We start from the raw sequence: 15,266 nt of genomic DNA, 5'->3' as shown, positions 1-15,266 counted from the left end.
GTGGGGAAATGGCAGTTAGCAGCAGTTACCTGGCTCCTCCTCTCTCAGAACATTGGGAGGCTGAAGCAAGGGGTTCACGAGTACTCCTCCCCTTCAGTCAATTCTTTTCTACATAGCCGTGTCCTTCCTTTCAGTCTAAGGGTATCCCAGTCTCAGCTGTACATTAAAGAGAAGGAGTAGGAGAGGTGTCAGGATACAGTGGATGAAGACAGGCTGAGCCAAAGTTCTAAGCCCAGGCCCCTTTACTTGCTCACCTTTGACTTTTGGCCTCTCCAGCAGGGCCACTAGGTCTGTTGTGAAGGTCGTGGACCAACTCTAGGGATGCTGCTCATATTATAACCATCTTAGATTTGTACAGTCATTGAGTTAATTTTCAACAGATGATAGTAAAGTGTTTTAAAGGGTGTCTTTTTCTAATTCACTCAAAGGCCCCAAATGGGCTCTCATCAGCCCTGTATTCTGAGCCTAATTTATCAACTGGATACAGTCCACATCTATCTATGTAGTTGGCCAGAGAACCAACTGAAATAGTGAGTGTAAAGCACCTTGAAAACTAACATGGTTTGGAGATTATATTTCCCAGGGTTCTGTTTGTGATTGTCTAAATTTGAGGGATTGCTATGTGAAAGGTAAAACAAGTTTCAGTCTGCAAGTGTTTTATCTCCCTTTGAAAATAGACACAAAAGCTAGCATTCAGATAGTGCATATCTTCTCACTCAAAATCCACCAGGATTCAAAAAGTAACTGTGTACTCATCAACAGGACTTAAAAGAATGTTCCAATTTCTGAGAGTTGCTTCACCAATAAAGTAGTTGAATTTGTTATAAAATAGTTATACCTTCTCTTCTCTGCCTAAGTCTTTAGATAAAATAAGCAAATGGAAGGCAAACCCTGCCTTGTCCTCATCCCTACCACTGACCATTAGGAATTGGGTTTGCTCCAGTGGACAGGTCTGAGGGTAGGCTAATAAGAAGTGAAGAAAATTGTAGGCCAGGCACGGTGGCTCATGCCTGTAATCCCAGCACTTTGGGAGGCCGAGGCAAGCAAATCACCTGAGGTCAGGCGTTCGAGACCAGACTGGCCAACATGGCGAAACCCTGTCTCTACTAAAAATACAAAAATTAGCCAGGTGTGGTGGCAAGCACCCTGTAATCCCAGCTACTCGGGAGGCTGAGACAGGAGAATCACTTGAACCCAGGAGGCGGAGGTTGCGGTGAGCCAAGATGGTGCCACTACACTCAAGCCTAGGCAACAGAGTGAGACTCCGCCTCAAAAAAAAAAAGAAAGAAAGAAAATTGTAAATTTTTTAAACCCAGCCCACATAAGTCATTCTGCAATGCAACGCACATTCAAGAAATAATTATGAGAGGAGGAGCCAAGATGGCCGAATAGGAACAGCTCCGGTCTACAGCTCCCAGCGTGAGCGACGCAGAAGACGGGTGATTTCTGCATTTCCATCTGAGGTACCGGGTTCATCTCACTAGGGAGTGCCAGACAGTGGGCGCAGGCCAGTGTGTGCGCGCACTGTGCGCGAGCCGAAGCAGGGCGAGGCATTGCCTCACCTGGGAAGCACAAGGGGTCAGGGAGTTCCCTTTCCGAGTCAAAGAAAGGGGTGACGGATGCACCTGGAAAATCGGGTCACTCCCACCCGAATATTGCGCTTTTCAGACCGGCTTAAGAAACGGCGCACCACGAGACTATATCCCACACCTGGCTCAGAGGGTCCTACGCCCACGGAATCTCGCTGATTGCTAGCACAGCAGTCTGAGATCAAACTGCAAGGCGGCAACGAGGCTGGGGGAGGGGCGCCCGCCATTGCCCAGGCTTGCTTAGGTAAACAAAGCAGCCGGGAAGCTCGAACTGGGTGGAGCCCACCACAGCTCAAGGAGGCCTGCCTGCCTCTGTAGGCTCCACCTCTGGGGGCAGGGCACAGACAAACAAAAAGACAGCAGTAACCTCTGCAGACTTAAGTGTCCCTGTCTGACAGCTTTGAAGAGAGCAGTGGTTCTCCCAGCACGCAGCTGGAGATCTGAGAACGGGCAGACTGCCTCCTCAAGTGGGTCCCTGACCCCTGACCCCCGAGCAGCCTAACTGGGAGGCACCCCCCAGCAGGGGCACACTGACACCTCACACGGCAGGGTATTCCAACAGACCTGCAGCTGAGGGTCCTGTCTGTTAGAAGGAAAACTAACAACCAGAAAGGACATCTACACCGAAAACCCATCTGTACATCACCATCATCAAAGACCAAAAGTAGATAAAACCACAAAGATGGGGAAAAAACAGAACAGAAAAACTGGAAACTCTAAAACACAGAGCGCCTCTCCTCCTCCAAAGGAACGCAGTTCCTCACCAGCAACAGAACAAAGCTGGATGGAGAATGATTTTGACGAGCTGAGAGAAGAAGGCTTCAGACGATCAAATTACTCTGAGCTACGGGAGGACATTCAAACCAAAGGCAAAGAAGTTGAAAACTTTGAAAAAAATTTAGAATGTATAACTAGAATAACCAATACAGAGAAGTGCTTAAAGGAGCTGATGGAGCTGAAAACCAAGGCTCGAGAACTACGTGAAGAATGCAGAAGCCTCAGGAGCCGATGCGATCAACTGGAAGAAAGGGTATCAGCAATGGAAGATGAAATGAATGAAATGAAGCGAGAAGGGAAGTTTAGAGAAAAAAAAATAAAAAGAAATGAGCAAAGCCTCCAAGAAATATGGGACTATGTGAAAAGACCAAATCTACGTCTGATTGGTGTACCTGAAAGTGATGTGGAGAATGGAACCAAGTTGGAAAACACTCTGCAGGATATTATCCAGGAGAACTTCCCCAATCTAGCAAGGCAGGCCAACGTTCAGATTCAGGAAATACAGAGAACGCCACAAAGATACTCCTCGAGAAGAGCAACTCCAAGACACATAATTGTCAGATTCACCAAAGTTGAAATGAAGGAAAAAATGTTAAGGGCAGCCAGAGAGAAAGGTCGGGTTACCCTCAAAGGAAAGCCCATCAGACTAACAGCGGATCTCTCGGCAGAAACCCTACAAGCCAGAAGAGAGTGGGGGCCAATATTCAACATTCTTAAAGAAAAGAATTTTCAACCCAGAATTTCATATCCAGCCAAACTAAGCTTCATAAGTGAAGAAGAAATAAAATACTTTATAGACAAGCAAATGCTGAGAGATTTTGTCACCACCAGGCCTGCCCTAAAAGAGCTCCTGAAGGAAGCGCTAAACATGGAAAGGAACAACCGGTACCAGCCGCTGCAAAATCATGCCAAAATGTAAAGACCATCGAGACTAAGAAGAAACTGCATCAACTAATGAGCAAAATCACCAGCTAACATCATAATGACAGGATCAAATTCACACATAACAATATTAACTTTAAATATAAATGGACTAAATTCTGCAATTAAAAGACACAGACTGGCAAGTTGGATAAAGAGTCAAGACCCATCAGTGTGCTGTATTCAGGAAACCCATCTCACGTGCAGAGACACACATACGCTCAAAATAAAAGGATGGAGGAAGATCTACCAAGCCAATGGAAAACAAAAAAAGGCAGGGGTTGCAATCCTAGTCTCTGATAAAACAGACTTTAAACCAACAAAGATCAAAAGAGACAAAGAAGGCCATTACATAATGGTAAAGGGATCAATTCAACAAGAGGAGCTAACTATCCTAAATATTTATGCACCCAATACAGGAGCACCCAGATTCATAAAGCAAGTCCTCAGTGACCTACAAAGAGACTTAGACTCCCACACATTAATAATGGGAGACTTTAACACCCCACTGTCAACATTAGACAGATCAACGAGACAGAAAGTCAACAAGGATACCCAGGAATTGAACTCAGCTCTGCACCAAGCAGACCTAATAGACATCTACAGAACTCTCCACCCCAAATCAACAGAATATACATTTTTTTCAGCACCACACCACACCTATTCCAAAATTGACCACATAGTTGGAAGTAAAGCTCTCCTCAGCAAATGTAAAAGAACAGAAAGTATAACAAACTATCTCTCAGACCACAGTGCAATCAAACTAGAACTCAGGATTAAGAATCTCAATCAAAGCCGCTCAACTACATGGAAACTGAACAACCTGCTCCTGAATGACTACTGGGTACATAACGAAATGAAGGCAGAAATAAAGATGCTCTTTGAAACCAACGAGAACAAAGACACCACATACCAGAATCTCTGGGACGCATTCAAAGCAGTGTGTAGAGGGAAATTTATAGCACTAAATGCCTACAAGAGAAAGCAGGAAAGATCCAAAATTGACACCCTAACATCACAATTAAAAGAACTAGAAAAGCAAGAGCAAACACATTCAAAAGCTAGCAGAAGGCAAGAAATAACTAAAATCAGAGCAGAACTGAAGGAAATAGAGACACAAAAAACCCTTCAAAAAATCAATGAATCCAGGAGCTGGTTTTTTGAAAGGATCAACAAAATTGATAGACCGCTAGCAAGACTAACAAAGAAAAAAAGAAAGAAGAATCAAATAGACACAATAAAAAATGATAAAGGGGATATCACCACCGATCCCACAGAAATACAAACTACCATCAGAGAATACTACAAACACCTCTACGCAAATAAACTAGAAAATCTAGAAGAAATGGATACATTCCTCGACACATACACTCTCCCAAGACTAAACCAGGAAGAAGTTGAATCTCTGAATAGACCAATAACAGGCTCTGAAATTGTGGCAATAATCAATAGTTTACCAACCAAAAAGAGTTCAGGACCAGATGGATTCACAGCCGAATTCTACCAGAGGTACAAGGAGGAACTGGTACCATTCCTTCTGAAACTATTCCAATAAATAGAAAAAGAGGGAATCCTCCCTAACTCATTTTATGAGGCCAGCATCATTCTGATACCAAAGCCGGGCAGAGACACAACCAAAAAAGAGAATTTTAGACCAATATCCTTGATGAACATTGATGCAAAAATCCTCAATAAAATACTGGCAAACCGAATCCAGCAGCACATCAAAAAGCTTATCCACCATGATCAAGTGGGCTTCATCCCTGGGATGCAAGGCTGGTTCAATATACGCAAATCAATAAATGTAATCCAGCATATAAACAGAGCCAAAGACAAAAACCACATGATTATCTCAATAGATGCAGAAAAAGCCTTTGACAAAATTCAACAACCCTTCATGCTAAAAACTCTCAATAAATTAGGTATTGATGGGACGTATTTCAAAATAATAAGAGCTATCTATGACAAACCTACAGCCAATATCATACTGAATGGGCAAAAACTGGAAGCATTCCCTTTGAAAACTGGCACAAGACAGGGATGCCCTCTCTCACCGCTCCTATTCAACATAGTGTTGGAAGTTCTGGCCAGGGCAATCAGGCAGGAGAAGGAAATAAAGGGTATTCAATTAGGAAAAGAGGAAGTCAAATTGTCCCTGTTTGCAGACGACATGATTGTTTATCTAGAAAACCCCATCGTCTCAGCCCAAAATCTCCTTAAGCTGATAAGCAACTTCAGCAAAGTCTCAGGATACAAAATCAATGTACAAAAGTCACAAGCATTCTTATACACCAACAACAGACAAACAGAGAGCCAAATCATGGGTGAACTCCCATTCACAATTGCTTCAAAGAGAATAAAATACCTAGGAATCCAACTTACAAGGGATGTGAAGGACCTCTTCAAGGAGAACTACAAACCACTGCTCAAGGAAATAAAAGAGGACACAAACAAATGGAAGAACATTCCATGCTCATGGGTAGGAAGAATCAATATCGTGAAAATGGCCATACTGCCCAAGGTAATTTACAGATTCAATGCCATCCCCATCAAGCTACCAATGACTTTCTTCACAGAATTGGAAAAAACTACTTTAAAGTTCATATGGAACCAAAAAAGAGCCCGCATCGCCAAGTCAATCCTAAGCCAAAAGAACAAAGCTGGAGGCATCACACTACCTGACTTCAAACTATACTATAAGGCTACAGTAACCAAAACAGCATGATACTGGTACCAAAACAGATATATAGACCAATGGAACAGAACAGAGGTCTCAGAAATAACACCACACATCTACAACCATCTGATCTTTGACAAACCTGACAAAAACAAGCAATGGCGAAAGGATTCCCTATTTAATAAATAGTGTTGAGAAAACTGGCTAGCCATATGCAGAAAACTGAAACTGGACCCCTTTCTTACACCTTATACAAAAATTAACTCAAGATGGATTAAAGACTTAAACATAAGACCTAACACCATAAAAACCCTAGAAGAAAACCTAGGCAATATCATTCAGGACATAGACATGGGCAAAGACTTCATGACTAAAACACCAAAAGCAATGGCAACGGAAGCCAAAATTGACAAATGGGATCTAATTAAACTAAAGAGCTTCTGCACAGCAAAAGAAACTATCATCAGAGTGAACAGACAATCTACAGAATGGGAGAAAAGTTTTGCAATCTATCCATCTGACAAAGGGCTAATATCCAGAATCTACAAAGAACTGAAACAAATTTACAAGAAAAAAACAAACAATCCCATCAAAAAGTGGGGCGAAGGATATGAACAGCCACTTCTCAAAAGAAGACATTTATGCAGGCAACAAACATATAAAAAAAAGCTCATCATAACTGGTCACTAGAGAAATGCAAATCAAAACCACAATGAGATACCATCTCAGGCCAGTTAGAATGGTGATCATTAAAAAGTCAGGAAACAACAGATGCTGGAGAGGATGTGGAGAAATAGGAATGCTTTTGCACTGTTGGTGGGACTGTAAATTAGTTCAACCATTGTGGAAGACAGTATGGCGATTCCTCAAGGATCTAGAACCAGAAATACCATTTGACCCAGCAATTCCATTACTGGGTATATACCCAAAGGATTATAAATCATTCTACTATAAAGACACATGTGCACGTATGTTTATTGCAGCACTGTTCACAATAGCAAAGACTTGGAACCAACCCAAATGCCCATTGATGATAGACTGGATAAAGAAAATATGGCACATATACACCATGGAATACTATGCAGCCATAAAAAAGGATGAGTTCATGTCCTTTGCAGGGACATGGATGAAGCTGGAAACCATCATTCTCAGCAAACTAACACAAGAACAGAAAACCAAACACCACATGTTCTCACTCATAAGTGGGAGTTGAACAGTGAGAACACATGGACACAGGGTGGGGAACATCACACACTGGGGCCTGTCAGGGGTTGGGGGGCTAGGGGAAGGATAGCATTAGAAGAAATACCTAATGTAATTGACGGGTTGATGAGTGCAGCAAACCACCATGGCACATGTATACCTACGTAAAAAACCTGCACATTCTGCACATGTACCCCAGAACTTAAAGTATAATTAAATAAATAAATAAACAGAGGCTTGGGCCTGGGTCACTCTCAGGCCCAAGCCAGAGTTCTGCTTTCAGTGTGACACTGAGGACCTCCAAGGTCTGCTCTCCAGTAAAACTAGTGAGAATTGTTTAAAAAACAAAACAAAACAAAAACAAACATTTAAAAACTCTGGAAATGGCCTTAAGGGCATACCACAAATGAAGAAATATTTGTTCAAGAAAAATCTACAAAAACTCAGAATTACAAGAATCTGAGGTATGTGAACCAAGACGCATGCCCTCTCTGTCCTCCCACCCTCAATTCAGTGAGGCAAAAACTATACTTCAGGCTGTTTCAGCCTAGAACACAGGGCTGCCTCTCCCCTCAGCTATCTTCCCAGGAGGGACGGGATGTCAGCATTTCTCATCCTTCCCCACTACTTGTTGCTGCAGGCAAAGTTCCAGGTGAGTACAGCTGATATAAATGCAACCTCCACTGGTGGAAATAGGCTCTACCTTGGGCAAGGTACCATTGAAAATACTAGGGCTCTGATTGAGTTTGCCCCAGTTTATGGGCGGAGTTCCATGCTGAGAGGCAAGCCAAGAAGACCTGTGACTGCTACCTCTCCCATCTACCAAGCACTCAGAATCTAACATGGGGGTGTCACTCAGGAAGAAGCACATCATTGTTCCCACGCCCACCACCAGGGCTTTGGCTCAGAGATTTCCTCAGATACAGATGTAAGTCATAGAACAGAGAAATTTGGGAAACTCTTAAGTATATGGAAATTAAACAACACACTCTTAAACAACCAATGGATTTTTAAAAAATCATCAAAAGGGAAAAGAGAAAATACTTTGAGGTAAATGAAAATGAAGATATATCAAAACTTACAGGATACAGCTAAAACAGTACATAGAGGGATATTTATAGCTGTAGATGACTATCTTACAAAAGAAGAAAAGACCTCAAATCAGCAACCTTATACCACCATAAGACATTGGAAAAGAAGAGCAAACTACACCTAAAGCAAGCAGAAGGAAGGTAATAAAGATTAGAGTGAAAATTAATAAAATCAAGACTTTTTTAAATAACAGAAAATCAATGAAAACAAAACTGTTTCTTTGAAAAGATAAACAAAATTAACAAACTACCTAATTGACCAAGAAAAAAAGAAAGATGACTCACATTACTAGAACCAGATATAAAAGAGGGGACATGACTACCAACATTTAAAGGATTAAAAGAAATACTACAAGTCGGCTGGGCGCGGTGGCTCACGCCTGTAATCTCAGCACTTTGGGAGGCCAAGGCGGGTAGATCACCTGAGGTCAGGAGTTCGAGGCCAGCCTGGCCAACATGGTAAAACCCTGTCTCTACTAAAAATACAAAAATCAGCCAAGCGTGGTGGCAGGTGCCTGTAATCCCAGCTACTCGGGAGGCTGGGGCAGGAGAATCACTTAAACCAGGGAGGTGGAGGTTGCAGTGAGCCAAGATCATGCCACTGCACTCCAGTCTGGGCAACAAGAGCAAAATTCCATCTGAAAGAAAAAGAAAAAGAAAAAGAATTACTACAAGTAAATACTAATAAATTCTAATAAAATGCTAATAACTTCAACAAGTTAGATGAAATGGACAAATTCCCAGAAACACACAAACTACAGAAACTGATTCAAGAAGAAATAGGGCCAGGTGTGATGGTTCACGCCTGTAATCCAGTACTTTGGGAGGCTGAAGCAGGTGGCTCATCTGGGCTCAGGAGTTCAAGACCAGCCTGGGCAATATGAAACCCTGTCTCTACCAAAAATACAAAAAATTAGCCAGGCATGGTGGCTCATGCCTGTAGTCCCAGCTACTCAGGAGGCTGAGGTGGGAGGATCACTTTAGCCTTGGAGGTGAAAGTTGCAGTGAGCCAAGATCGTGCCACTACAGTCCAGCCTGGGTGACAGAGTGAGACCCCATCTCCAAAGGAAAAAAAAAAAAGAAGAAGAAGAAGAAGAAGAAATAGGCAATCTGAATAGGCTTATATCAATAAAGAGATTGAACGAATAATCAAAAACACTACCAACAAAGAAAAGCCCAGCCCCAGATTGCCTTACTGGTAACTTCCACCAAACATTTAAAGAATTAATATAAGGCCGGGCATGGTGGCTCACGCCTGTAATCCCAAAACTTTCGGAGGCCGAGGCAGGCAGTCACTTGAGGAGTTCAAGGCCAGCCTTGCCAACATGGGGAAACTCCATCTCTACTAAAAACTGTAAAAATAAGCCAGGTGTGCTGGTAGACACCTGTAATCCCAGCTACTCAGGAGGCTGAGGCAGGAGAATCACTTGAACCCAGGAGGCAGAGGTTGCAGTGAGCCGAGACCACACCACTGCACTCCAGTTTGGGCAACCAAGCAAGACTCTGTCTCAAAAAAGAAAAGAAAAGGACTAATAACGCTACCACTCCTCACAAACTCCTCCAAAAAACTAAGAGAAAAAAATACTTCTCAACTCCTTCTATGAGGCCCTCATACCAAAACTAAAGACATCACAAGAAGACTACAGACCAATTTCTCTTACGATATGGATGCAAAAATATCCTAGCAAATTGAATCTAACAACATATAAAAATAACTAGACAACATGATCAAGTAGGATTTATCCCAGGAACACAGATTGGCTTAACATCCAAAATTCAATTAATGTAATATACCATATCAATAGAAGAAAAACCAGCCGGGCACGGTGGCTCACGCCTGTAATCCCAGCACTTTGGGAGGCCAAGGTGGGTGGATCATGAAGTCAAGAGATCAAGACCATCTTGGTCAACCTGGTGAAACCCCATCTCTACTAAAAATACAAAAATTAGCTGGGCGTAGTGGCACGTGCCTGTAGTCCCAGCTGCTTGGGAGGCTGACGCAGGAGGATCACTTGAACCCAGGAGGCGGAGGTTGCAGTGAGCCAAGATCGCACCATTGCACTCCAGCCTGGGTGACAGAGCAATACTCCGTCTCAAAAAAAAAAGAAAAGAAAAACCAAAAATACATGATCATCACAATATCACAATAGATGCAGAAAAAGCATTTACAAAATCCTATGCCTTTTCATGATTACAAACAAACAAACAAACAAAACACACACACGCACTCAACAAACTAGGCATAAAAGGGAACTCAAGATTGGGTATACCGTGGCTCACACCTATAATCCCACCAGTCTGGGAGGCTGAGACAGGAGGAACACTTCAGCCCAGGACTTTGGCAACATCGCAGGACTTTGGCAACATCGCAAGACCTTGTCTCTACTAAAAATAAAAACAAAAAAATTAACCAGGCATGGTGGTGCACTTGTGGTCCCAGCTGAGGTGGGAGGATCACCTCAGCCCAGGAGGTCGAGGTTGCAAGCAATGAGCTATAATTGTGCCACTGCACTGCAGCCTGGGCAACAGAGTGAGACCCTGTCTCAAAAACAAAAAAAAAAAAAGAAAAAGGAAAAAGGTAGTGCCAAGCATGGTGGCTCACGCTTGTAATCCCAACACTTTGGGAGGCCAAGGCAATAGGAGCACTTGAGCCCAGGAGTTCAAGACCAGCCTGGGCAACAAAGTGAGACCCCATCTCTACAAAAAATACAACAAAGTAGCCAGGCATGGTGGCACACACCTGTAGTCCCAGCTACTCAGGAGGCTGAGCTGGGAGGATGGCCTGAGCTCTGGGAGGTCAAGATTGCAGTGAGCCATGATGGTGCCACTGCACTCCTGCCTAGGCAACACAGTCTGTCAAAAAAAGAAAAGAAAAGAAGGAAGGAAGGAAAAGAAAAGAAAGAAACCGAGAGATTAAAAGAGAGAGGAAGGAAGGAAGGAAGGGAGGAAAGAAGGAAGGAAGGAAGGAAAGAAAAGAAAAAAAAGAAAAGAAGAAAACAGGGAACTCAGTATAATAAAGTGCTTCTATGAAAAACTCAAAGTGAACATCATACTTAATGGTGAAAGACTGAATGCTTTGCCCTAAGATCAAAAATAAAACAAGGATGTCTACTCTCTTCATTTCTATTCAACATTGTACTAGAGGTTCTAGCCAGGACAATTAAGCAAGAAAAAGAAATTAGAAGCATGAAGATTAAAAGGAAAGAAACAAAAACATCTCTATTTGCAGATGATATAATCTTGTATATAGAAAATCCTAAGAAGAGCTTCCAGATAGCTGAACACATGGAGATTCCTGGAGGGTGGCGTGCCCAGGGAAATCATGGAAGCCCCTTCCCCCATACCTCGACCTACACATTTCTTCATCTGTATCCTTTGTAGTATAATAAACCAGCAAGTGGGCAGGTGCAATCTTAGTTCCTGCTGGATGAAAGGAATGATAAGCCAAAAACAAGTTGGGCTGCATGTCAGAAGGCATCTTTCCCCACTTTGCCTGCAGGAGCATCACATTAGAAAAACACACTTCACTCATGAAGGGGAAGCCTCAGGACCATGTGACCACCCTGAAGTCACCTTGACATGTTAGGGATGAATTTAGAAGAGGACAATGATGGGGTTCAGGACATGCAACCCCAAAATATGGCACCTTGGCATTTGAAAACATGGCAGAACCAGGAAGGTCACTCTCATCATTCCCTCTTCTCCCCAAAACAAGTTTCTCATTTTGAGAGGGACCCTCCCTATACCTAAAGGGAAGGAATATCCTTAGCTCTGAAGACACAAGGGACACAAAGAAGAATCTACACAAACACGCCTTGCTAAGTTCCCCCAGTTTATTACCATTAGATCATACTCTTTTGTCCTCCAATCATATTTCTCCACAACTGTCTACTCTCCATCAAACAGCATAAAAATACCCAGGTTTCCCTGTGTTTTTGTCTTCACCTCCATAGGAAGGCTCCCATGTCATGTAAAACTTATATTAAATAAACGTGTGTGCTTTTCTCTTGCTAATCTGTCCTTTGCTATATATGTCTCTGTCATTAACCTAGCAACATGTGAGAAAAGAAATCTTTCCTCTGTCCCCAACAACACTATCAATAAAGGCGAAACACTCCAAAAAAGAAAAAGAAAATAATAAGAAATCCACTAAAAAACTACCAAAACTAAGTAACAAGGTAAGTAATGTTGCGGGATACACGATCAATATACAAAAATCAGGCAAAGATCATTATTGGCCACTAAGACCAGAGAAGAGACACCCAGACATTAAGGGCCTCCTGATGGAAGAACATAATGCCATCTATGAAATTTTCTTGCAAAAAAAAAAAAATACCATGAAGCAGCTCAAGCCTCTGGATCTAACAGTTTGCAGGAAATAAAGAGAATGAAGAAATGTGTTAAACAACACCATGAGGATACAACTGGAAAAATCAAGAATGTAGGAATCTACAGACCAAACAACCCAGTTTCTTCAGCAAATAAATTGCAAGAAAAGAAAAATGAAAAAGGAGAAAGTGGGACCTATAGATTAAAGAATTTTAGGGGCCAGGTGGCTCCCTCCTGTAATCCCAGCACTTTGGGAGGCCAAGATGGGAGGATTACTGGAGCCCAGGAGTTTGAGACTAGCCTGGGCAACATAGCAAGACACCATCTCTACAAATAATAAAAAAAAAAAAATTAGCCAGGCATGGTGGCGCATGGCTGTGGTCCCAACAATTTGAGGCAGGAGGATCATCTTAGCCCACGAGGTCGAGGCTTCAGTGAGCCGTGATCGTGCCACTGCACCCCAACCTGGGTAACAGAGTGAGACCCTATGTCAAAAAAAAAAAAGAAAGAAAGAAATTTTTGAGTGTATCAACCAAATACAATTTATGGGCCTTATTTGGATTCTAGTTTGAAGGTATCAACTGTGAAAAGAAATTAATAATAGAGGGAAATTTGAATTTGCCTGGATATTTGATATTAAGCAGCTATGATTAATTTTCGTAGTTATTTTTAACACTTTTCTTTTAGAAGTGTATGCTGAAATATTTATGGATAAAAATGACCTTTGCTTCAGATAACCTTGTTCAGGATGGGGGTGTGTGTATATGAAACAAGATTGGTCACAAATTGATAATTCTTAGGTAATGGACACATGGGATCTCATTAACTTTTATATGTTTCCAACTTTCCTGATTATAAAAAACATGGAGCCAGCATCCCTGGGACCCACATTAATCAATTACAGAGGAAGACAGACAGCACACCAGGAAGGAGAGGAAGTCAGACTCTGGTTAAATATGATGATGAATAACCTACCATTGTTTCTGGAGAATGAGGTGAGAGAACAGCAGACTGGAATAATGAAAAGAGCTCTGACCTAGCACTAGGAGACCCAGATTCCAGCTTAGCCCCACTTCCCAGCTCATGAGCTCAGTCAAGACAAATCCCCTCTCTGAGCCTTGCTATCCTTACCTTTAAAATGGGACTGCAAATTAATGATCTCTACATTGTGGGGTTAAATTCTTCCTCCTTAAAATTTGTCCCAAATGATGGCTCTGGACAGTCCTAATGTTTTGCAGGACTCAGGATAAGTGTACAAAAACAGGTCTACTAACCATGTCTGAACATTTAAAAACTATAAATTAAGCTAACAAATTGTTAAATAAAACATGTTCTAACTTGCTACCTTGACCAGTATACCTTCATGATCTAGAAAGCCAGGTTCATTCAAAATCCACAGATTCCTTGAGGTTCCACACTAACATGCAGCACTAGAAGAACCAGCCCTCACTTCTCATCCCCATGATCCCATCCTTACTGGGAAAGGCAACAAATGCTGATACCCCAGTCTATCTGTCCAAGCTCTGGGCACATCCCTCTCCAAATACCCTCCTCTTACCCCCTTGAACCCAGCAGCACACACACTGGTGGGATAGTCCACTCTTGGGAGATGGACCCACAAAAGAGGCCTGCAGAAGCCATGGAAGTAGGCAAGAGGCCACTGGGCAGGGAATTCCAGGGTTCCAAATACCAGGAACAAAGTCTAAAAGGGGAGTCACAGACTCCAGCTAGGTGTACGTCCACTTGGCTCTGCAGATTTCTCTGCCGTGAGGGGCAGCACAGCCAGAACACCAGAGGACTTTCTAAAGCACGGGGCCAAGGGCCTTCCTTGCCCAGATCTAAGATACTGAATACATCAAAGTTTCATTATATTATTCTCTTTCCTTTTACGTAATTTTGAAATTTTTACATTATATCTTTTTAAGGACTAAAACATGAAAAAAAAAAAACCTCCAAAACCAAGTTAGAAGTTCTCTCAGACTCTGAAATTCTGAGCCTTTATGAGCATCACTGAAACTTTCCTGTGCAGACTCAGTTCCTTAGAAACTAGAGCTTTTTGCCGGGTGCGGTGGCTCACACCTGCAATCACGGCACTTTGGGAGGCTGAAGTGGGTGGCTCACCTGAGGTCAGGAGTTCGAGACCAGCCTGACCAACATGGAGAAACCCCCATCTCTACTAAAAATACAAAATTAGCCAGGCATGGTGGCGTATGCCTGTAATCCCAGCTACTCGGGAGGCTGAGGCAGGAGAATCGCTTGAACCCAGGAGGCGGAGGTTGCGGTGAGCCGAGATCATGCCATTGCACTCCAGCCTGGGCAACAAGAACAAAACTCCATCTCAAAAAAAAAAAGAAAGAAACTAGAGCTTTTGGCTGGGCACAGTGGTTCATGCCTGTAATCCCAGCACTTTGGGAGGCTGAGGAGGGAGGACTGCTTGAGCCTAGGAGCTTAAGACCAGCGACACAATGAACATTATTTGATAACAATGTAGATCCCATCTCCAAAAGAAACCATTTCTAGGGAATGAGAGGAAAATCTAGGGAGCATCATGGCAGCTCCCATGAGCCAAATTCAGCCTCCTACAACTGGAAACCTTTCAGAACTTCAGAGATAAGAGTGACCCAGAAAACAGATACCAAGAAACATCTTTCCCTTCCTCCTAGAAACAGAAAATAAGTC

At 42.6% G+C, this 15,266-nt stretch overlaps 1 protein-coding gene across 1 annotated transcript in view; it reads right to left on the bottom strand.

Annotated features, from left to right (window-relative positions):
- RGS3 (regulator of G protein signaling 3) overlaps positions 1 to 227 on the bottom strand; it is a 153,009-nt gene extending 152,782 nt beyond the window's left edge. The window contains exon 1 of the mRNA NM_144488.8: positions 30 to 227. The gene's annotated coding sequence lies outside the window, so the exon portion shown is untranslated. The remainder of the gene's footprint in view (positions 1 to 29) is intronic.

The sequence above is a fragment of the Homo sapiens genome, chromosome 9 (assembly GCF_000001405.40).
Source record: "Homo sapiens chromosome 9, GRCh38.p14 Primary Assembly".
Taxonomy (NCBI): Eukaryota; Metazoa; Chordata; class Mammalia; order Primates; family Hominidae; genus Homo; species Homo sapiens.
The sequence above is the reverse complement of the archived record's forward strand: the minus strand, read 5'-3'. Positions and strand labels throughout refer to the sequence as shown.